At 39.4% G+C, this 23,623-nt stretch overlaps 1 protein-coding gene across 11 annotated transcripts in view, besides 1 other annotated feature; it reads left to right on the top strand.

Annotated features, from left to right (window-relative positions):
• STARD13 (StAR related lipid transfer domain containing 13) overlaps positions 1 to 23,623 on the top strand; it is a 573,658-nt gene that overhangs the window by 493,063 nt on the left and 56,972 nt on the right. For all 11 annotated transcript variants that reach the window (XM_017020835.3, NM_001243476.3, XM_047430759.1 and 8 more), the window contains 2 exons: positions 16,110 to 16,181; positions 18,314 to 18,395. In XM_017020835.3, the coding sequence (XP_016876324.1) occupies positions 16,110 to 16,181; positions 18,314 to 18,395 (154 nt within the window). The remainder of the gene's footprint in view (positions 1 to 16,109; positions 16,182 to 18,313; positions 18,396 to 23,623) is intronic.
• Positions 662 to 881: an enhancer, noted in NCBI's record as "active region_7571". NCBI's record gives its function as "activates an Ori minimal core promoter by ATAC-STARR-seq in GM12878 lymphoblastoid cells {active_cell/tissue: GM12878}" and the evidence as "EXISTENCE:reporter gene assay evidence [ECO:0000049][PMID:35858748]".

Genomic DNA, 23,623 nt, shown 5'->3' with positions numbered 1-23,623 from the left:
CGGAACTGCCCTCCTTCTCCAAGTTCCTCCAGATTGGAGATGACTCCCCTCACCAAATCTGACTTCCCAGCACTATTCCAAACCCACATTTGGAAGACCTCTAAGCTTCATGAGATTTCTTGTTATTGATTAAGGCTGGGGTCTGGCACTCAGCCCAACCACAGCCCCAGCAATAGTAGCATCAGACTTCTCAAACAGAGTGGAACAGAAAGCTATGAAAGCCTGGCATGTGCCCTTCAGCCTCTTTACATCAGACCAAGAGAGAAAAAAGAGAGCAGGAGAGCTTTTTCAGGGGGCAGAAGTTTCCTTTGCCAAAGATCTTTGACCAGCAGCAACGTGCAAGTCCTTTGCAGGGAATAAATCAATGGGCTGCAGTCCACTCTGGCTTGAGATTTATGCAGAGCAAGAAAGTCACTCTCAGCTCCTCCTTAATTCAGCATGTCTTGAGCACATGCTGAGCTCCGAGCACTCTGCTAGGCACTAGTGGTACAAAGAGTAAATAAGGCAACCTCTGCCCTCAAAGAGCTGTGGTCTAATGGGGGAGAGAGATGTGTAACAAGAACATTTCAGTATAATCTAAGGACCATAATGAATGTGTGAAAGTCCAGAGAAGAGCCGAGCTAACCTGGGATACAGATGATGTCTTCGCTAAATCTTGATAGAGATAAATGTGAGCAAGTCAGGAGGTAAATAGGGAGAGGAATGTGACAGATGGAGAGGAAACAGTGTAAGCACAGGCGTGGGATATGCAACAGCAGCCTGGGACTGGGGATCTCCGGGCAGCTTCACGTGACTGCACGTGAGCCCCAGAAGCACACAGAGGCCAGGCAGGAAGGCACTGTGGGCCGTGGTGATGGGCTGGTACTTTATTCTGCAGGTGACAGGGAGACGTGAAGGAGTTTGAAAGAGAATGAACATAGTTTCACGTTAGAGATTCAAGGAAGGCAAGAACTGAAGCAAGGAGAGCTATTGGGTTCTGTTGCAGAAGTCCTGGTTTAGACAAAATGAGAGTCTAAACCAAGCTCGTCCAGCCCACGGCCCCAGGCCGCATGCAGCCCAGGATGGCTTTGAATGTGGCCCAACACAAATTTGTAAATTTTCTTAAAACATTTTGAGATTTTTTTTGTAATTTTTTTTTTAGCTCATCAGCTATGGTTAGTGTTAGCATATTTTATGTGTGGCCCAAGACAATTTTTCTTATTCCAATGTGGTCCGGGGAAGCCAAAAGATTGGACACTTCTGTTAAACCAAGTCCAGGAGACAGAGGTGGGGAGGAGGGTAGGAGTTTAAGAAATATATTTGAGTCAAATTCAGCAGGTGCTGGGGTTGTGTAGTGAGAATATGGGGACTGGAAGAGACAGAATGAATCTAAGAAGACCCTCAAGTGTCAGACTCATAGAACTGTGTTCCATTTTTACATTAATATATTTTACCAGATGCATCTCATACAGCTGAGTGTTATCTAGTCAGTGTTTTAAACGGGTGATGAAGTCAGTGGATATGACTATTAATTCTGAATAGGAAAGCATAGAACAGAAAAATGTCAGATCTCCTTGCATACATAAAGTGCAACTATTGTTTTATGAAACTTTGTTTTAGTCTATGTGTGTATGATGTGTGTACATGTGTGGTGTGTGCATGTTCACAACTACATGAAGTTTATTTCTGACTAAAGATTGTGATCAAAATATTTGAAAGTCCTGGGATATTCTTTTTCTATGGTTATGATTGGTTATTCTCAGGTATGACTGACTATGCCTCAGTCAGGTTAAGATGATCTTAAAAAGCGAGACCGATTCTTTTGTGGGAAAACAGGGAAATCTTTTCTCACTACTCTTCTTCCAAGACTAAATCTCTCATTACTGTGCGCACTTGGAACTCCTAAAGATTCCATCCAGAGAGAAAGGGAAAGATTGCAGCCAGCAGAAGCAACAATCCTAGTCAGTGCCAGGACAATGTCAAATGCCCCACCCTTCAGAAAACAGTAGCAATATCGAGATACACAGACATTGCTGCCCACGAATAGCCATGTCCCTCAGAGGCAGAATCAGAACTAGAAGAATAATGTTACCTTATTTTCATATGGAGCTTACAGTTTGCAAAGGACTTTCATAATACATTTTCCCATATGTACAACAGCCTTGTGAGTTTGGAAGAACCTGAATATCTGAGAGATGTTTTGGGTGTTTATTGGCCTTCAGATCTATAAATATTTTTCTCTTATAGTCATTCACCCATTCAGTCAACATACTAAATGATAGCCATTTACAAGACTCTAGGCTAAGAACATGAGATGTAAAGATGCAATCTGGTTTCCAATCTGGTAATGTGTACCTGCAATGTCAAAATTTAAGAGGATACAAAATCCACATATTTATTTAAGGATGTTTGCAGTTTTACCTAAGACATATTTACAGAATCCATGTGCATGAATATGTGTGTGTGTGTGTGTGTGTGTGTATGTATGTGTGAGTGAAAGACAGAGATAGAATATCTATGTCTCCAAATTCCAAAGTCAGAAATTGATAGCCCACGGGAGACAGAGCAGGACAAAGCTGATATGCCTTAGGCCTCCAAGGGGCATAGTGTTATCTTCTTCTTGGGCTAAGGGAGAGCACCTTAGAGGTAGAGTAAACACACACATTTGAGGAAAGCTGTGTAACCTCAGGAAAAACAAAAAACACACAACAATGTTTGCATACAAAGGGTTTCCCAGGCCTCTCAATTATATCTAAAAACCCCAGGTAAAGAGCTCTCGGTTTATGCGTTAAATTGAGCAAGATAGACTTCATCTAAATTTTTTAAAAAATTATGTGTCGATATTTACTTGTTCCTTATTTTAGAGAAGCAAAAGTTTCAAGGACGGATTTCTAAATTTTCCATTTGGCACTAGGTATAATTCAAGCAGTCATGGAACATTAATTGTAACCATTATATGCATAAGAGCAACACTTCCTTTGTTTTTAAATGTAAATGTATTTAAGTATTTGAAAGGTATTTGAATTACTTTCCCCGTCACCTCCTCACAAAGCAGATCCCTGAATATACACCTAGCATGTTTCTCATAGTGAGAATGACCTTAGGAAGCCGACCTGGGAGATTCATGACCTCTTGAGATCAATGACCTTGGACTCCACATTAACCCACAACTTCTCCCAGTCATTAGTCCACAGGAAGCCCATATCCCTTGCTCACAATTTACTTACTTGTTGAGATTTTTTCTCATAACATGGAAAAATAATCTTCTGAAGGCATTTCCCTTAATGAAGCCCACATGTCTGATACAGATTTCTTTCCCAAGGTCCTGGAGTGTTTGGTTATGTTTTAACACATCTTTGCCCTTGAGATCCCCGCATATCAGGCATGTGATTGCTAATATTTTACTTATTAACTGGTAAGCACGTTGTAAACCATAATCGCAATACTGTCTTCCCCAGCCTGGTGTTTATATCCTAAAAGTAACAGCCTCTTAGGAGAAGGCTCTTACTGCCATTATCCTAAGGTGTCATATTTCTGAATGTGTCCAAATGTCACATATCCAAAGTGTCACATCTCATTTATGACTCTCATTACATCTTGTTAAAGAGCACTGCATTGTGTGAAGCATGGCTTCCTGAGATACAGCTTCATTTACCAGAAAGAGTATCATGAAACATTCTGTGGACTGCAAAAAATGAATTGCATGTTAGATACTTGTCGTGTAAGAATCTCCAGGCAGGTTGATGGGTGCCATGTGACCCCAAGGACCTCCTGCAGGCACAGAGGGAGGAGCATGAGATTCTACTTCCAAGAAGGCAGTGAGTTCACACGAATCTCAGCTCCTAATTCATCTGGGGGAAGAAGATGGGTTGTTTATGGCAGAACCATGTGGCTAACCTTCTTCTGCCTTCTTCTGAATCTCACCTCAACTGCAAGGCTTTTCCTGGTCATCTTATCCAAAATGCCCCCTCCTGCTCTGAGACCCGGAGGATAGTGTCCTGTTCTGCAGGGCTTTTGCTTTCTTTGGTTGTGGTAGTGCCTGGATGGGTCTTTGTCTATCCCTGCTTGGTTTAGAGACCTACAGGGTAGGACCCACTGCCCACAGCCTTGCATTCACCTTCAGCACCTACCAGCAGGCTTTCACAACAGGGGCACCCAGCAGGTGTCTGTTGAATAAATAAGTAAAGACAAATGCCTTCCACTTCTGCATACCAAATGAAGAGAGCTGAGAGAAGAGAAGCAGAGACCATCCATCAGAACCACTATCTTCTAATATGGGAAAGTAACATAAGCACCTCTGCCCTAGTAATAGTAGCAAATGCTGTGCTCCAGGTACTTTACAGAAATGCAATCATTTAATCTTTACGGCAACCCTCTGAGGTAGGTACTCCTGTTTATTCCCATTCTATAGATGAAGAAACTGAGGTATGCTAGAATTAACCTACCCAGGGTCACACAGGTAATGAGAGGTGTATCCAGAATTTTGGACTCACTTCTAACTGCTTGATGCCGTATTTACCCCTCTTGTGCCCATCTGGTTCAATTATGCCCTCAAATAAAGGAGTATTTTCTAAAAACATTGACAGGTTCTTTTTAAAAAGTTAATCTGTAAAACTAAGTATATGTATTCAATAAGAGTAGAAACTTGAGCTTTATTCCAGAAACAGATATGCCATTGGTTAAGAACAAAATGAAATTAGAATGTATCTTCATTGTAAACTCTCTTTAAAGCAATAACATGAACCCTGTACAAAAGTAGTCTTGCCTTAAAGAGTTGCTCTTTTGGTAAATTTGCTAGTTTTACAAATTTGGATCATGTTTTGCTTTTGATTATTTGAAGAATTTTGGGAGTCACATAGACTCCAGATATTCATTTAGTCATTAAAACAAGATGTGGAGATTTTCTTTATTTGGTCTAGTTTGTTTTGTTTTTTGAGTACAACCTTGAAACTTCAGCAACCAGGAAATACCAAGTTATTACATAAAGTAAAATATATCTTTGAAATTGTCTAAATACATATGCAGAAGGTCAAAGACAAGTGAAACAGCTGTTACATAAAATCTCCACTTTCCAGATACCTAAGACATTCAAGAAGGAAGAGGTGGGAATACGGTCCAGGACCTTAGTTTTGAATTTCCTGGCTCCTGTTAGTTTAAGATATCCCTGTAGCATCATTTAAACACAGTTCTGGTACATGAATAAACTTCCATTTGGAATTTCCTTTTTGAAGTCTGCTGAGAATATAAATCAAAACCATATGAGATGTGTCTTAATCCAGAATGTGAAATAACATGAGAAATGTCAACCCAGAAGTAGTCCCTGAAATACGTTCACCAGGATGCACGTTCTGGTGAAATTCTTTATTTAGAATGAAAGCCTCCAAAGAACTGGATTTATTATTTTTAACCCATGATTATGGCAGCCTGAATTGATGAAAGAAGATACTTTTTAAAGTAATGTCAGTAGAAATGTTATTCAAGCCACCTAGAATGTTTGAGAAGGACATCTGTTGACATAAAAAGATGTTCAAAATGCATTGTCGAGTGCAAAAGCAGATTCCAATTTTATTTAAAGATTATGTAAAATAGATAGTATACTTAGCCTAGATACATGAACACATCTTCATAATAAAAGAACAAGAGACGTTATGCCAACAAAATATTGATCAATCTCTAGGTGGTAGAATTATGGCAATATCTTCCTTCCTTCCTTCCTTCCTTCCTTCCTTCCTTCCTTCCTTTCCTTCCTTCCTTCCTTCCTTCCTTTCCTTCCTTCCTTCCTTCCTTCCTTCCTTCCTTTCCTTCCTTCCTTCCTTCCTTCCTTCCTTCCTTCCTTCCTTCCTTTCCTTCCTTCCTTCCTTCCTTCCTTCCTTCCTTTCCTTCCTTCCTTCCTTCCTTCCTTCCTTCCTTTCCTTCCTTCCTTCCTTCCTTCCTTCCTTCCTTCCTTCCTTTCCTTCCTTCCTTCCTTCCTTCCTTCCTTCCTTTCCTTCCTTCCTTCCTTTTTTCCTTCCTTCCTCCCTCCCTTTCTCCCTCCTTCCTCCCTTCCTCCATTACTTTCGTTTTCTTTTTGCTTATATTTTTGCTTAGTAACAGAAAATTGAAATCATTTATTTGATTTTCAAATAATAAGCATAGTGCCTTCATTTGACAGCCTTCTTGTTTATCACATGGCTTGACATGAATGCTGCTAAAATCCAGTGATATCCCCAGCTCAGCTGGTCCTTGAGTTGACTTTGACGGATTTGCCAGCCTTGCAGTATGCCAGAATTGTGTAACTAGCATCACCAAAATCTTACAATAGAGCCCATTTGCTGGTACTTTAGTCATGAAAGGATTGGTTGCATTTTTAAATGGCTGATTTGGTTTGTGTTTTTTCCTTCTATTCGTACATTTGCCTTGATTTGACTGTGTGTGTGTAAGTTTTTCAAATCTTAGGTTTAGATTTTGCTACTCTTACAATCAGATTTCATTTAGGAATTTTAAGCCACTTTTATCTCTTATTCAAATCTATTCTTACAGAAAATGATCTTTTTATACCTGAATTCAGTGAGTATTTGGCAGGCAGATTAGCCAAGACCGTCATACTGACTTTATTAGTAAAAGTTGTCATATTCCTCAAAGCTAGCCAGGGAATTAAATTCTATTCATATTAGACAAGGTAGCCACCTGGACCTCCATTTAGAAATAGATGTATCTTTACATAGCATGTACTTCTGCTGTTTCCTACTTTGTTTTTAAACATCAAATGTGAAGATCCTCAATTAAGATTTTGTGACGATAATTATAAAGGCCCAAAGAGTTCTTTAAAATTTGAAGTTATCTGCTATACAATTTTAAATATTCCAGAATTTGTAAACTTCTATTATATTAAACTTTTAAAACATTTTTATAGTTGATGTAACTTTCTTAACCTTTTGGATTACATTTGTGGCATGTTTATGGGATGCCTCAATTAACTTTAATCTGAGTATGCCGTGTGTTTAGATTGTAGCATGATACAAGTCATTGATGCATCACTGTGCCTGATGACAAAAGGGAGTTGCAGCATAGGAATTAAGTTTCTTAAGTCTTCAGTGGAGAACTTCATCTCTTCCATCCCAAATCAAGTAAAGCTATTTCAAATACCTGAACTCATTTTAAATTTCCTTCTATAAGGAATATATAATGTCAATATCTATTAACAAACTGCAAATAAAAATCCCTTAGAGAGCAGACTTTTAAGCTCAGCAGTATCTTTGACCTTGAAGAGCATAGGGAAAAATGAATCTATCGATAGCTGTAAACCTAGTAACAATTTCATTTCTTGAATGTAATCTTTATTCCTGGAATGAGTGATGCATGTTTAGAAAATCATTCATACTGCCAATGCTGTTGCCTACGTTCAGCAGACAAGTAGAAAGGGTTCCAGAAAACTGGCAAAGACACGTTGAAAAATCCTAGTAAATATTTTATTTACACTCTGAGCCAGTGCCAAGGAATTTTTTAAGAAAATACATACAATATCAAGTTTTCATGTATACTCAGATAATAGGATTATACTTGAGCTGTGGAAATCTTTTCCTGGAATTAAATTAAGCAAGAACTAGTTTTGATTGATCCAGATATGACAGTTGCTGAGAAGTTACATGCAGAAAGCCTTGCAGAGGGAGTCAGAAGCTTCAGCCAAGCTGTATCTATCTTGCCATGTCAACCCCAAAAGGAGCAAAGGAATTGAAAAGGGCCTGCAGAAGTATTGGAGTGACTTTATCCTAACAGAATCTGTGCTCCTTCTTTCACCTACATGGCAAGGTTTTCCCCTGCTATCATGAAATCTTCTTGGGTAATTGGAGTACCAAGAGCTAAAAAAGAGTTGAGCAAATCAAACAGCAGATAACCTCTTACAAGCATAGACATTCAGAAATGTCTGAAAAGATACAGGAGGAGTTTGCATCCCTAAAAACACGCATTTTTTTAACATTTAAAAAAGAAAAATCTTAAAGCAATGTAGGATGGAAGAGTACCTGTCAAAAGCTAAGAAATCTGACTTCCTAGTGGTGGTGGGATTTGTCCAAAGCAGTTGCTCTTCCCCAGGCAAGAAATCATCAGCATGACACAGAGTGAGTACCCACAGGCCCTTCTGATACTGGTCATTTGGCCAATTTTGTGGAAGTTGGAGCTCGGCTCTGAGAGCCAATATCAAGACAGCAACCTGGACTCTTGTTCACCACCTTTCCTACAGAAGCTGGAGAAACTGAATTAGAGAGGGAGAGACAATCTGCAGAATCTCATGCACTTGTCCCAAGAAGGGTTACTGAAGACTCTACTGGCTTGGTGGTTCAACATGGAGGTGTTTTGGCCAATGCTTGCAAATTATGATGCTCTATCTAATTGTCTGGTCAACTCTGTGTTCCCTGCCTTGCATTTCAGTTGCTTGACTGACTCCATCTTGAAGAATCTCTTGGGATTTAGTGGTAGGCAGTGGCTCCACAACTTCAAAAAGCTGGGGATGTATGCATGCAGCCTCCCTGAGAAATACCACAAGCGCCTGATTGGAACAATCTGTATCAAATGAAAGAGGAGAATAAAGAACTACTCTGCTTCATGGAAAACTTGAGTCAAAACAATCTGGTCAGAAACTATTTGGCTGGGAGAGCATCTATTTTCTGCTTTCTTTTTCTCTCAGATTGACTGGGGTTTGGGGATTGTAAACATTTTTTTCTTTTTAAATACTATTGGGAATACAGGCATGGAAAATATATTTCTGATGAGTTTCCTCATTCACTTGCAACGGAGCTTTTGATTTTCTGTGGTGCAAATGTGTATATGAGCACACATTCACACACATGGATGCATGTGAGGATTGTTTACAACATTTTTTGGAATTCATATAGATCATGCACTCTAGGCAGAGAAGCAGAATTCGGAGCAGAAATGATTACTGAGACTATGTTCATCTCTACACCACACTAACAGACATGCAACAACAGTTTCCGCTTGAGATAAAGGTCCATAGTGCCTTCCATATGCCTCATCTATAGAGTGAATAGCTGGCAGCTGTGTTACATTAGCTTACGCTAGATTATGCCACTTGAACAAATTGCCCCTCAAGTTGTAGTGGCATAAAACAAGTGTATTTATTGCTTATATTACATGTCAGCAGCTGGTCTGCTGTTTCTCTGTCCCCAGTGTCATCATTCCAATACCTAGGCTGAAGGAATATCTCTTAGCCTCATGGTAAAGGGAAAAGAGCAGGAAAGGTGGTTGGGTTAGGGGATGGCTCTTGAGATGTTTTTCTGAAACTAGCACAGGTCACATCTGTTCACATTTAATTGGCCAAAGTGGGTCATATGGCCAAGCATAACATTAGTGAGGTGGGAAGGGTATGCCTCCTAGTTGCAGGAGAACTGCACATGGCAGCTGGAAAGGGCAGGGCGTCACTGTGGGCATACAAAGAAAAAAAAATGCATAAGTGTGTGTGACTATATAGTATATATATATGTTAATTATATATTTAAGGCTAATTAAAAATTAACAGTAAATATGTGTAACGTATTTGTTTACGTATATGTCATATGTCGTAATATCTATGGTTTCCCCAACCAGGCTGAAAAAGACTGATTAAAAATAACCCTTGAGTGACGAGGAATAAACCTGCTTAGGTTTATTCTCTACTTAGCTGGAGAATTTGCTCGATCTTCTTTTACTCTAATAGGAATTAAGTGACTAGATTTGCTATGAATCCAGCTTCCAGAAGATATTTCAAGGCCTAGGAAACAAGGCTTATGTGTAGAATTGGTGAAGGAATTTTATGTCTCAACACATCTCTCATTCTTGCGTTTGGGAAAGAAGTCCACATAAACAGAGCTGAGAGTCTCTGTCTTGACTGAGTACAGGTAAGCGTGATCACTCTATACGGGTCTTCCAGGTTTCCTCTTCCTATTGCTGTATACTTGCTGACAGTCAGATATTTTATTGCACATCAAGGAAAAGATTGCCTCAAATTATGGATAGATAAAGTGGGTGTTTATAAGTTGATCCACTATTTTGAATATTCAGTGATTAATAATCCCAAATTCATTCCAAATAACCTGTATTTTAGTTCCTCTTAGTAACTTAGAAAATCATGGAAAGAAAATGTTATGAATATTAGGAAAAAATTATATTTGGTATACAATTAAGGTCTTTTACATATCAAAATAACTTAACATATAATTTTAAAAGTGCAAAAAGATATATCCTGATGCCATACCATGGGATGTAAATCAAAGTCTGTTACTACTAAAAATCTGACATTCCTTCCTGTATCTGTCACTAAGGTTATAAAGCCCTCCTGGCAGGATTATGGTGGTAGCGTATGGTTCTATGTAATATTAATGATTGCATCATTGGTATCCATATATAGATGGGATGGATACCCTGGCATTGATTTTAACAAAACTGGCTTAATGTATGGCCAAAGAAATACACCTTCAATAAATACGGACTTCACTAGAGAAATTCTGTCTGAAGACAAAGGAGTCATTCTCCTGAAGTAGTAAAGTTACTAATGAAGCTACCTTAGCCATATAAATTATCCTAAGCCAGCAACCACAAGCCCGTTGAAATGTTAACACCTTTGATATACTTTAATAGTGATAATTTCATCCACTGCAGGCATCTTGTGGTGGCTGAGTCATCCTGCTATGCTGGTACCCGTAGTCTTTTAGAAACAGGGTGCCCACCAAATAGGCCAGTTTAAAGGAAAAGACAAAACACTCTACTCAAGCCTACTTTTTCTTAAATCCCATGACGATCACACTCTTTCTTTTCCTTACTTCTCTTAAGTACTTTTAACGAACATTTAAAAAAGAAGACCTATTTAAATTGGAGCCAGTTTGTCCATAGAAATTCAAGGAGATTTGTAGGAACAACATAAATACATGTGCTCGTATGTAATGATTTCATAAACTTTCCACAATAGAACAGATTCTTTCTAGCCAGCTACATGTCTGATAATAATAAATTTTAATTTGGGCCTCATTTGAATTTTTGGTCATTTAGAAAGGATACCCAATACCTTTCAGTGAGCTATTGAAAAAGTATTTGCTATGCTGAGAAAAACGTAAAACAAAATGTACATACTTAAAATGCTTAGCCAAGAGAACACACTGTTCCCAAGCATGCTAGAAGCACGCTAGACACACCAGCTTAAAAATACAATGAGGTTGTAATGTGAGATGAGGCCTGCAAACCTGGGCAGCAAATTTGCTGTGCTCACTATGTTTCCTGACTTGCCTGAGGTCCTACAGAGCCTTGTCCACAGACTGTCTGTAGCTAAGAGACTACATTAAAGAAACAGCTTGTAAATCTCTTTTAACTCCCATAGACTTCCAGCCTTCTCCACCGTCAGTCTACACTGGTGAGGTCCTATTGAACTCTTTTCTCTTGGCTACCTTGATGTTATAATCTTCCTACAGGGAAATGCAATTGGCAGTATTCAAAAATCAAATATTTAAAAAATAAGCATCATTCTCGAAACAAAGTAAATTTCCCATTTTTTTTACAAATAAGATCATTATATAAGAAAATATTCGCAATGTATTCTTAAGTGAAAAAAGCAGTCAACCAAAGATATTAGCATAGTACTGTTTTGACAGATAACATATATAAAGTTAGGTGTTCATAATGGGGCAAGAGTTGACTTTTTTCATTCATTGTGACTTTCTCTATTAGGAAGTTTTCAACACTGGGCATGTATAATTAAGAAACATGATAATATGTTCATGTGAAAACCCACATCGGCCATGGTTTGTTTCCACGGTGCCTTTGTTCTCATGCCCATGGTAGTGGGTGCCTCCCCAGGTGCTAGCAAGAGCTTCCCTCTGCTGGGTCTGTCTGAGGATAGTGGTCACATCATGCTCAAAGCATGTGTAAGGCAACTGAGGCAAAGCCAGTGACTTTGCCTTAAGTGGAATCGCAGATATATGGCTGAATAGCACGGGTAGCACCACACCAACCACTGAACTTACTGAGTAAAACAGTGAAAATGTTTGCTAGACCAGGCTACCAGTGGAAACACTGGATATCTCCCTTTTCAACCAGTTGATTTCAGCCCCCAAATGACTATTGGTCTCCTTAGACTAACAGGGATGGGGTGCTCTTAAGAATCAGGTCACCTTATGTGGGTGGTGGTGATAGGGCTAGGGAGTGTGCTTGGAGGCAAGAGGCGTCAGCCCTACATAAACCATGTAGAAGAGGCTCCTTGCAGAAAGAGGTTCCGTTATCAGAATACGTAGGGAAGGATGTTGGACAGACAAAAATAGATACCTGCCAGAGAGCAAAATGAAATAATTATTACATAGAATAGTTACAAAAATTACATAGAAATCTTTTCATAATACCAAGCTGAATGGATTGGATTTTCACCAGCAAAGCAGCACAGTAACCTCCGTAGAGATTGGTGGGCCCTTCTGTCCAGGTCCACTCTCTGGTTTCACTCCACACTCAGGTTTTCCATGAGACAGCTACAGTGAGCTGAGGCTTTGCCTTGCAGCCCTGGAGCTGCTACAGGGGTGGGTAAGGGTAGCAAATGGAGAACAAATAAAACTGTCAAAATGTGATTTTAATAGCTCTTAATGCTTTTACATAATATTATGCTGGCTAGCAAGAGAACAATAAAAAAGAGTTTTTCACACTTTTCTCCTCAAATGTCATTTAAATCTCATTAGGTAGATCTTTGTGAAATGATGGCACTGGCAATAATGATTCCTTTTTAGTTCTCCAGTCATTTTGGCCAGTGGAAGGGCCTGGGGAAAAGCATTAGTATTTGGCTGATTGGTATTAGTAGGGGCCATGAAGAATTAATAAAAATTGTAAGACTTTTTTACCCTTCCCCCCTCAATTGGATGGGCAAACTCAGATTTGATAGGGGTTAATTATGCCAGATTATTTTGCTTGTTTTGTCACTAGCTGGTAAATGAGAGTTGGCTTTGTCCTTAAATTGAGGTATCAAGATGTTGGGACTGCAGCTAGGGTGGGGGAATATGAAATGAGGGTGTGTGTTTGAGAGACATTTGGGCAAATAGAATGGCAAGTTGGGTATAGGAAATGATGCTACACGAGGAGTCACCTGCCATGGCTAGGACAGGGCTGCTTCTAATTTATGATATTTACTCATTGCAGTTTTGTTGTCATTTAAGCCTGAGGTCTAAAAGTTTAAGTGCCTGCCCATTAAAGCAAACAAAAAAAATCATCTTATTTGAATGATTGATTTATCTGGGTTCTGGTTAAAATTTGGTTATTCATGTATGTATCTGAATAGGATTTCAGTTCGTTATCCATGTTGCTGTCATAAAAAATGAAATGCAGCTATTATCTGAGGAGCCTTTTAAATAAAATTTCCCTGGCTAGCTTCAGCCCCATTGCACTGTCCAACCAGAATTTTAAGTTCCAAAAGGAGTGTTGTTTTCAAAATTTTTAAATTTTTCATTTTTGTGGGGACATAGTAAGCGTATGTATATATTTATGGGGTACATGAGATATTTTGATACAGGTGTGCAATATGAACTCATTACATCATGGAGAATAGGGTATTCATCCCCTCGGGCATTTATTCTTTGTGTTACAAACAATCCAATTATACTCTTTTAGTTATTTAAAAATGTACAAATAAGTTGTTATTGACTGTAGTTACCCTGTTGTGCTATCAAATAGTAGGTCTTATTCATTCTTTCTAATTTTTTTTTGTACCCATTAATGATCCCCACCTCTCCTCCAGCCCCCACTACCCTCCTCAGCCTCTGGTAACCATCCTTCTAATCTCTATGTCCATGAGTTCAATTATTTTGATTTTTAGATCCCACAAATTAGTGAAAACACGTGATGTTCCAAAGGGAGTTTTCTAGAAGGATTCCTGGCTGCCCACTTCTTCTCCACCATGTTATCCTTTTCATCTTCAGGATCTGAGCTCACCACATTCCCTGGGCTGGAGGGGTGCGAACTCTTTCATAGGTCACTTCCCACTCTCTGTCTTTGAGCTTTCTAGGCTGCAGAGCCCCTGTCTTGTGGGTCTTCCCCATTTGTTCTTCATGGCCTGGCTCTCTGGGACTGTCTTGCTGAACACTACATTTTCATTGTAGTAAAGGTAATAATAAAACAGAAAAAGGCATAGGATTCATGTAATGCCAAGAGAAAATATAATATTCTGTGCTTCTCTCCAAGACTTGCTGACTCATAATTAGGTTTAGAGCATGTCTAGAAATTAGGTGTTTTCTCGTTACTATCCGCTGTATTATATGGGAGCGGGAAGCAAATCTGAGCTTGAAAATCTATTAGGCAGCACTTTATCCATGACTCAGGAGCAACTCACCACATTTTCCACACGTTACAGATGGAATGTATGTTTTCCTATTTCCTCTGAAATACTTGTGTGGTTATCAAAGTAGGAACCTTCAAATACAGACTCTCAACTGGGTACTAAATAGAACTTTTGAGCAATGCAATAATTGCCTTTTGTACCTTCCCAGAGGAAAGCCCAAGTTAGCCCAGGCAGCACAATTCAGCTAAGCTGTGTTTTGAACAGCAGTTGTGGAACTCAGAGACTCCTTTTCTGATAGAAATGCTTTCAATAGCTTTTCTTTCCAGCTTGGTTCCCTGGATGTTTCTGAACCATGTGTCCATGGCAGGAATGGGTACATGGTAGGAACATGCTGGTCACACTTAAGTGGAAAACCCTCACACAAGAGACAAATCTCAAGCTTTTGAAATCATCAGTCCCTGGAGTAACAGTAGATTAGGGGATGACAGAAGAGGCAGGCGTTCCGGGGCAGGAGCCACCACAGGCTCTGTTTCCTTGGATTTAATGACAAAGTTCAATCTAGATTTAACCAGATCTGTGGAACTAGGCGGTAGGGTTTTGCTCTTCCTGGTGATGCCTGAGTAAGATCTGGCCTTTGGTCTATTTTCCTAACATATACCAAATAGCTCTGGCACATCAAACATCTTACTGCACAGACACTGAGCTTTCAATGTTGAGGTACAATCGCAGGCCCAGGGTGATGTTAGTGTAGATCATTTCTGTGCAGTGATCCCAAGAACGCCCTGTACACTCCAGCTTTGGCTATGGGGAAAAATTAGCATCATAGTAAATGGAAATACAATGACCTGACAGGGACCCATCCTAACAGCGGAGGAAAGGGCCTTGGTAAAGACTTGTGATAATAGGCTGTTTAATTTTGTTTGGAGAGACTGGACTTTCAACAGATGAACTTCTTTCCCCTTGGATTCATATTTGTCTAACAGAGTTGTGGTTGGGAAATGATCCAGGATTCACAAGGTCAAAAAGTGACCTGGTTCACATACTGTAGACTCCTCCTATCTCACTCCACAGCTTCCCCAGGCAGGTGGTCCGGTGGGCTGTTGGTGCATCCACACCAAAAATGGTCACCCAAGGGACATATCAACCTCTTGGGCTTGGCCCTCAGAGGTTCTGGCAGGCTCATCAAACTCAAGTCTCAATTCCAAATAATCAACTTTCCTCTTCTATGCCGCACTCTACAGCTTGAAATCATTCCAATGTGCTTGATTAATGAACATTTTGTTATAATGCATGGGGAATTAAGGCTATTAGTGAAATTTTTAAAACAATAATACACTGGATTTTAGCTTTTTTTCATGAGAAAATACATTTTCATAGGCAATCTAGTTGTAGTCTTTCTTAAAGTTATCCCAAGAGTGAAAGAATGAAGGAATGTTGAATAAACATTTTTAGCCTAATCTTTGGAACTTAAAAAAAAAATTCCATTAAAAAAAAAAAGAATTGTAAAGAAGAATGCCCTCTTTTCCCCTAGTGCCCTGGTTCCCTGGTGTATAAATAAGACATTTTTCCCTGCCTGAAATTCAGCCTTTGTCTTCTATGATCTGTGGTTTTGTTATTATCCACATACTTATGGATCTACATTGAAGATTATCTTAGCAGACACATAACAAGGACCTTTGTATTACCCGCTCGTTTTCCACCCACTCCCGGGTAAGCCTACTTATGCAGACTTACCTGGAACAATTTTGCTTTGTAATAACTTGCACAAAGCTCACCAGTGTCTCCATGATTAAGAAGGCAGAGTACTAGGGTGCGGCTGTGGGACTCACAATTTTATCTCTCTTGTGTTTTTCAGAAATTGAGGCAAAAGAAGCATGTGACTGGCTCCGTGCTGCCGGGTTCCCGCAATACGCTCAGTTATATGAGGGTACGTCAGCCCTTCGCTTCGCTCTTACACAGAGAATAAATCCAAAATGAACCACACGTATCCTGTGGTGTGTTTTGACTTCCAGATTTTTTTTTCTCGCCCATTTTGCTTCGCTTTCTTTTTCCCTCGGCCTTTTTGCTATGCCCAGGGGTTATCCTGATACCAATTTAGAAATGAATATCACTTCCCAGGCCCACTTTACTTTCTGCTTCCCACTACTAATTCCCATCTCTTTACCGCAAACCCCAACTCGACGTTTTCCTTCCAGCATTCTGCCATCAGCAGCTTTTCTGCACTTCCTTCTTTTTCTCCTTGTTTTTCCTTTACTACTCTCACTTTTCTTGAAATCACAATGAACTCACTGTTAAAAAACTTCCTAGAAGTCACAAAATTAATTATCCTGAAATTTCTGTTTAATTCTGTTTACTTTATATGAAAAATGTCAAGATATAACATGAATCAGATGTTATTCTTCCGAGTTTTAGGTAAGGTGTCTTATTGCTAGCATTACACTTCCTTTCATTGATTTTTTTTTGGTTTTTTTTTTGTTTTTTTTTGAGATAGAGTCTGGCTCTGCCACCCAGGCTGGAGTGCAGTGGTACAATCTCCACTCGCTGCAACCTCCGCCTCCTGGGTTCAAGCAATTTCCTGCCTCAGCCTCCCAAGTAGTTGAGATTACAGGCGGGCACCACCACACCTGGCCAATTTTTGTATTTTTAGTAGAGACAGGGTTTCACCACGTGGGTCAGGCTGGTCTCGAACTCCTGACCTCAAGTGACTTTCCCACCTCGGCCTCCCTAAGTGCTGAGATTACAGGCGTGAGCCACCACCCAGCCTTTTCATTGATTCTTTAATTGACAGTTAATAGACATACTCATGTCCCTTATATCTAAAGTTATAACCAAAGCTTTTAACTTCTTCTCGGATTGTCCTTATCTAGTAATGAACTAGTCAGGACCCCAACAATGAGCAGGTGGCAGGCTCAAGGCCATTTACAGAGGATTTGTTTCTAACAGTGCTCATTGCAAAGGTGCAGGCAGGACAGGGGGTGGCCACGAGGAACGGTGCACAGTGCAAGAGCCCAGGGCTTGTAGTGGCACAGCTGTCACTACCATGAGCCCAAAGGGACAGGCCAAGGAAGAGAGTGCCAGAGCCCAGGAGGAGAGAGGAGCCTCAAACCAGACCCTAGGAAGGAGCACAGCTGGCAAGAGGCAGCCTTCCATGAAAAAAAATCACAAGTGTCTCCCTCCCTCCCTCACTAGCCGAGCAAGACAGCTTCACTCTGGAACCATCTGTAAGTCACTCACATGATTTTTTTTCACCAGAAGGGGAATTATGTCTGTTTCCAACTCATGCTAAAATTTAGATACCCTTAGATTTATCATGACTGGCAAGGTGTAGACAGCACAAAATACAAGATGAGATAAAGGAAAAAGTGGCAAGTCAATGATAGTGACCCAGCATGGTTACATTTGGCTATGTCCTCTATTCCAATGAGCTGCAGATTGCTACCTCCATGAACGAGGTACCCAGAATTCACACCATGTTCTAAATATTGCCTGTGACCTTCAAAGCTGGCATGAATTGTCTGTTGGAGGGAAGTAGTGTTCGAATTATTCTTTTTGGATAGAATCAATTTGAGTATTTTGCTGATACTCCAGAGTGATAAAGATTTTGCTACTAAAAAAAATTTCAGATGATAGAACTTTGGGTATTTTTGGAAATTTCCTTTTTGAAGGAAAAAAATCTGCCAAATTAAGTATTTCGTGAAACCATCAAGATAGACGCCAGTGACCTACGTGTTAGGTGGATGGTGAAAGCACAAAAGCTCTTCTCTGAGGCCACATCCACCTAAGACTGTAATAAGGATGAGCTAGAAAAATGCAGGCACTTAGTGTTCAATCCTATCCAAGGTCAAGCACTTGACTATCCTCATATTTCGCACTTATATTGTACTCCTAAAAGCATTTACAGTGATAGCAATTTTTTGCTCTCTTAAACATTCCCAACAATGATGATGGGCAGTCACTGCTATTAAAATCAGTGGCTTTTACAGACCTTGAAGGTCTGAATATGTTGGTGCTCATTCAGATAAAACAAAGTACATCAACTTCTTTGTCTTTCTCTCTCAGATTCACAATTTCCCATCAACATTGTGGCTGTCAAGAATGATCATGATTTTCTTGAAAAGGACCTTGTAGAACCTCTTTGCAGGTAAACCATGTGAAGTATTTTTGTTTCTTTCCACTGTTCAGTCTGCAACAGGCATCACTATACTGAAGGGCGAGCTCAGCTATTCGGCAAGTATTCACTGAGTGCCTACCATGTGCCTGACCCAGGTGCAGGTTCTAAATGTACTACTGTTAATGAGCATGATCAGTTTGTGTTTTCATGGAGCTTAAATCCTAGCAGGGGCCTTTGGACACTAGATTAGGAAAATGACAGAGAAAGAAGAGAGAGAGAGTGAGAGTGAGAAAAAGAAAGAAGGAGGGGGAAAGTTTATTTCAGAGAGTATAAATGCTATGGTCAAGCTAAAACAACATGGGGATGTAGACAGTGATTGGGGGTGTGGATGGGTCAGTAGAGGGAAGAAGCATGAGCAGGCTCAGCATGTGTGGTGAGGGAAGGCTCTGAAAAACTACGAGTGTGTCAAACTTGGCTGTATTTTTTGCAAAGTCAAGTGATTATCTCCTCAAACTCGTGTGTATGAACTCAAGTAATTGTAGCACCAAACTGGCCTATTTAAGCTATTAGTTTGTGATAGATAGTGTAAGGAGACAAAGATGTATATATGGATAATTTCTTCCCCTTAAAACAACGTATTATCTTGTTGAAGAAACTCAGTTGAAGAAATGAGGTGTGAATACCTGAGCAAATAACAATTATAATTTGGGTAATAATAAAAGATCCAGGAAAAGCTATATTCCTGAAGAATTAAATGCTGCCTGAGAGGTGGTGTGTCTGTAGGAATTTGAAGTTTCATAATTAAAGCCCTGAAGAGAGGTCAGAGCTGAAGATAAGGATTAGTTATGGGAGATGAGTCATTTTACCAAGGCCATACAGCTAGTTTAGGGCCAAAATGACCTTAAAACCCAGTATTCCTAATGCTAAATCCAATGTTCTTTCTAGTATATTCTGCATTTGACATAAATAAGGTAGTAGTTTAAAGGGAAAGTAATGATTAGCAAAACTTATGAAGACAGGAGCGATCAACGCACATTAAATAGTGTGTAAATTACCTAATCCTAGGCTTGCTGAATCTTCAGACACGTATATACATAATATATTTTTGTGTCACAAACCAGTCACTCTGTGTTTTCTATATGAAGAGAAAATAGGTTTGTGTTAAGAAATGATCTCTGAATGTTCAAGAAAATAATACTATGGGCTTGCTTACATGGGTGGAAGAGCAAAGAACTCCTCAAATCATAAATGACAGGACTAAGTTATTTGGACGAGAAAACAAACAAACTCAAAATGACATTTATGAGAGCTTATGAAGTGAATGGATGATTTGGTTGTGATTCTGTAAAGGTAATGAATTGGAAAGACAGTGTTTCCTCTTCTGCATGTCTAAGGTACACAGCAAGCAGGAGCAGATTCCTCCTCATAAGCATTCACTCCACTCAGAGCCATGTAGCCAGCACTTCGTCCTGAGTTTTATCTCTCAGTTTTAACCACATATTTTTTTGCTAGTTGGCTTTTTTTAATATTTGAAAAATTATATATTATTTTTTCCCATTGAATTTTTGAAATGTTTTCATTAAGTTGAGGTATAACATATATATATGTTATATATATATGTTATATATATATGTTTTATATATGTTATATATATGTTTTATATATATGTTATATATATATATGTTTTATATATATGTTATATATATATGTTTTATATATATATATGTTATATATATATGTTTTATATATATATATATATATTTTTTTTTTTTTTTTTGAGACAGAGTCTTGCTCTGTCGCCCAGGCTGGAGCACAGTGGTGCAATCTCAGTTCACTGCAAGCTTTACCTCCTGGGTTCAAATGATTCTCCTGCCACAGCCTCTAGAGTAGCTGGGACTACAGGCATATGCCACCACACCTGGCTAATTTTGGTATTTTTAGCAGAGATGGGGTTTCACCATGTTGGCCAGGCTGGTCTGAAACTCCTCCTGGCCTCAAGTGATCTGCTCACCTCAGCCTCCCAAAGTGCTGGGATTACAGGTGTGAGCCACCGAGCCCAGCTGAGGTATAACATTATTGATATGGTTTGGCTCTGTGTCCCCACCCAAATCTTATCTTGAATTGTATTCCCATAATTCCCACATGTTATGGGAGGGACCCAGTGAGAGATAATTTGAATCATGAGGGCGGTTTCCTCCATACTGTTCTCATGGTAGTGAATATGTCTCATGAGATCTGATGGTTTTATCAGATCTTTCTGCTTTTGCATCTTCCTCATTTTCTCTTGCCACCACCATGTAAGAAGGGCCTTTTGCCTCCCGCCATGATTCTGAGGCCTCCCCAGCCATGTGGAACTGTAAGTCCAATTAAACCTCTTTTTCTTCCCAGTCTTGGGTATGTCTTTATCAGCAGTGTGAAAATGGACTAATACAATAAATTGGTACCGAGAGTGGGGTGTTTCTGAAAAGATACCTGAAAATGTGGAAACAACTTTGGAACTGGGTATCAGGCAGAAGTTGAAAGAGTGTGGAAGGCTCAGAAGAAGACAGGAAAATGTGGGAAAGTTTGGAACCTCCTAGAAACTTGTTGATTGGCTTTGAAAAAAAAAAATGCTGATAGTGATATGAATAATAAAGTCCAGGTTGAGGTTGTCTCAGATGGACATGAGGAACTTCTTGGGAACAGGAGCAAAGGTGACTCTTGTTATGTTTTAGCAAAGAGACTGGTGGCATTTTGCCCCTGCCCTTGAAAGGATGATTTAGGGTATCTGGCAGAAGAAATTTCTAAGCAGCAAACAGAGCATTCAAGAGGTGACTTGGGTGCTGTTAAAGGCATTCCATTTTAAAAAGGAAACAGAGCATAAAAGTTCAGAAAATTTGCAGCCTGACGATGCAGTAGAAAAGAAAAACACATTTTCTGAGGAGAAATTCAAGCTGGCTGAAGAAATTTGCATAAGTGTCAAGGAGCCAAATGGTAATCCCCAAGACAATGGGGAAAATGTCTCCAGGACATGTCATAGGTCTTCACAGCAGTCCCTCCTATCATAGACCTGGAAGTCTAGGAGGAAAAACTGGTTTCATGGGCCAGGCCCAGGGTCCTTATCTGTTTGCAGCCTAGGCACTTGGTGCCCTGTGTCGTAGGCAGAAGGGGCTTGCCTTGTCTCATATGAGACTTTGGACTATGGACTTTTGGGTTAATGCTGAAATGAGTTAAGACTTTGGGGGACTGTTGGGAAGGCATGACTGGTTTTGAAATGTGAGGACATGAGATTTGGAGGAGCAAGAGGTGGAATGATATGGTTTGGCTGTGTCCCCACCCAAATCTCATCTTGAATTGTATTCCCATAATTGCCACATGTTATAGGAGGGACCCGGTGGGAGATAATTTGAATCATGGGGGGCAGTTTCCCCCATACTGTTCTTGTGGTAGTGTATAAGTCTCACAAGATCTGAAGGTTTTATCAGGGGTTTCCGCTTTTGCATCTTCCTCATTTTCTCTTGTCACCACCATGTAAGAAGGGCCTTTATCCTCCCACCATGATCCTGAGGCCTTCCCACACATGTGGAACTGGACTACGTCCAATTAAACCTCTTTTTCTTCCCAGTCTCGGGTATGTCTTTATCAGCAGTGTGAAAATGGACTAATACATATATATATAAAGTAAAATTGACTATTTTCAGTGAATAGGTCTTTGAGCTTTGACAAATGCCTCCAAGTTGTTATAACCACCACCACACTCAACATATAGAGCAGACCAGGTGTTGTGGCTCATGCCTGTAATCCCAGCACTTTGGGAGGCTGAGGTGGGTGGATGTCTTGGGCCCAGGAGTTTGAGACCAGCCTGGGCAACACAGTGAGACACCATTCCTACCAAAAATACAAAAATTAGCTGGGCATGGTGGCACACATCTGTAGTTCCAGCTACTTGGGAAGCTGAGATGGGAGGATCACTTGAGCCCAAGAGGCAGAGGTTGCAGTGAGCCAAGGTTGTGCCACTGCACTCCAGCCTAGGTAATAGAGCAGGACTCTGTCTCAAAAAAAAAAAAAGATATAAAACAGTTTCCTCACTCCCAAAATTTCCCTATTCCTCTTGTTAGCAGCTTCTACTCCTACTCCCAAACTCTAGCAAACCACTGATTTGTTTTTTGTACCTATAGTTTTGCTAAAATATCATACAAATGAAATCAAACAGCATGTAGCCTTTTTAGTATGGCTTCTTTCACTTGTTATAAAATAATAAAAATTCATTTATGTTGCTATGTGTTTTAATAGTTCATTGCTTTCTATTTCTGAATAGTCTTGCATTGTATGGATGTCCTACGGTTGTTTATCCATTAGCCAGTTGAAGAACATTTGGTTGTTGCCAGTTTGGGTGATTATAAACCCACTCTAAACATTCATATTCAAGTTTTTGTATGAGCATTTAAGTTTTCATTTCTTTGATGTAAAATCCTAGGAATGGGATCGTGGGCTCTATATGATAAGTTTATTTTAACTTTATAATTAACCACCAAATTTTTCCAAAGTGAAATATTATCTTGTACTGCCATTGACAATGTATGAGAGTCCTTACTGCTCCACATCTTTGTTAGTACTTAGTATTGTCAGTTTTTGTTTTGCTTTTAGACATTTTAATAGATGTCTGGTATTAACTCATTTGCACTTTCTTAATGACTAATAATGTTGAATATGTGCTTATTTACCATCCATACGTCTTCTTTTATAAAATATCTATTCAACTCTTTTGACCATTTTTAACTGTATTGTTTTTCTTATTGTTGAGTTTTGAGAGTTTGGATATGTCCTAGATATGAGTCCTTTGTCAGAAATGTGTTTTGTAAATATTTTCTGCCAGGCTGTAGCTTGCATTTTCAGTCTCTTAACAGTGTCTTTCACAGAACAAAAGTTTTTAATTTTTCTGAAGTCCAGTTTTACCTATTTTTATTTATGCTTTTAATGTCATATCTAAGAAATATTTGCCTAACATAGGGTCACAACTATTTACCCTATGTTTTCTTCTGGAAGTTTCATAGGTTTGTGTTTTATATTTAGACCTATGATCCATTTTTAGTTCATTTTTATAGAAAGAACAAGGTGTGAGTCAAGATTTACTTTTTGTATATCAATGTCCAATCATTTCAGATCAATATTGAAAAGACTATACTGTCTTTACTGAATTACCTTTGACCATGTATGTATAAGTCTATTTCTAGACTCTCTATTCTGCCCCCATTTATCTATGTGTCTGTTCTTTCATC

Source organism: Homo sapiens, chromosome 13 (genome assembly GCF_000001405.40).
Source record: "Homo sapiens chromosome 13, GRCh38.p14 Primary Assembly".
In the NCBI taxonomy this organism is placed as follows: Eukaryota; Metazoa; Chordata; class Mammalia; order Primates; family Hominidae; genus Homo; species Homo sapiens.
Note: the sequence above shows the minus strand (reverse complement) of the source record. Positions and strands in the feature narration are given on the sequence as shown.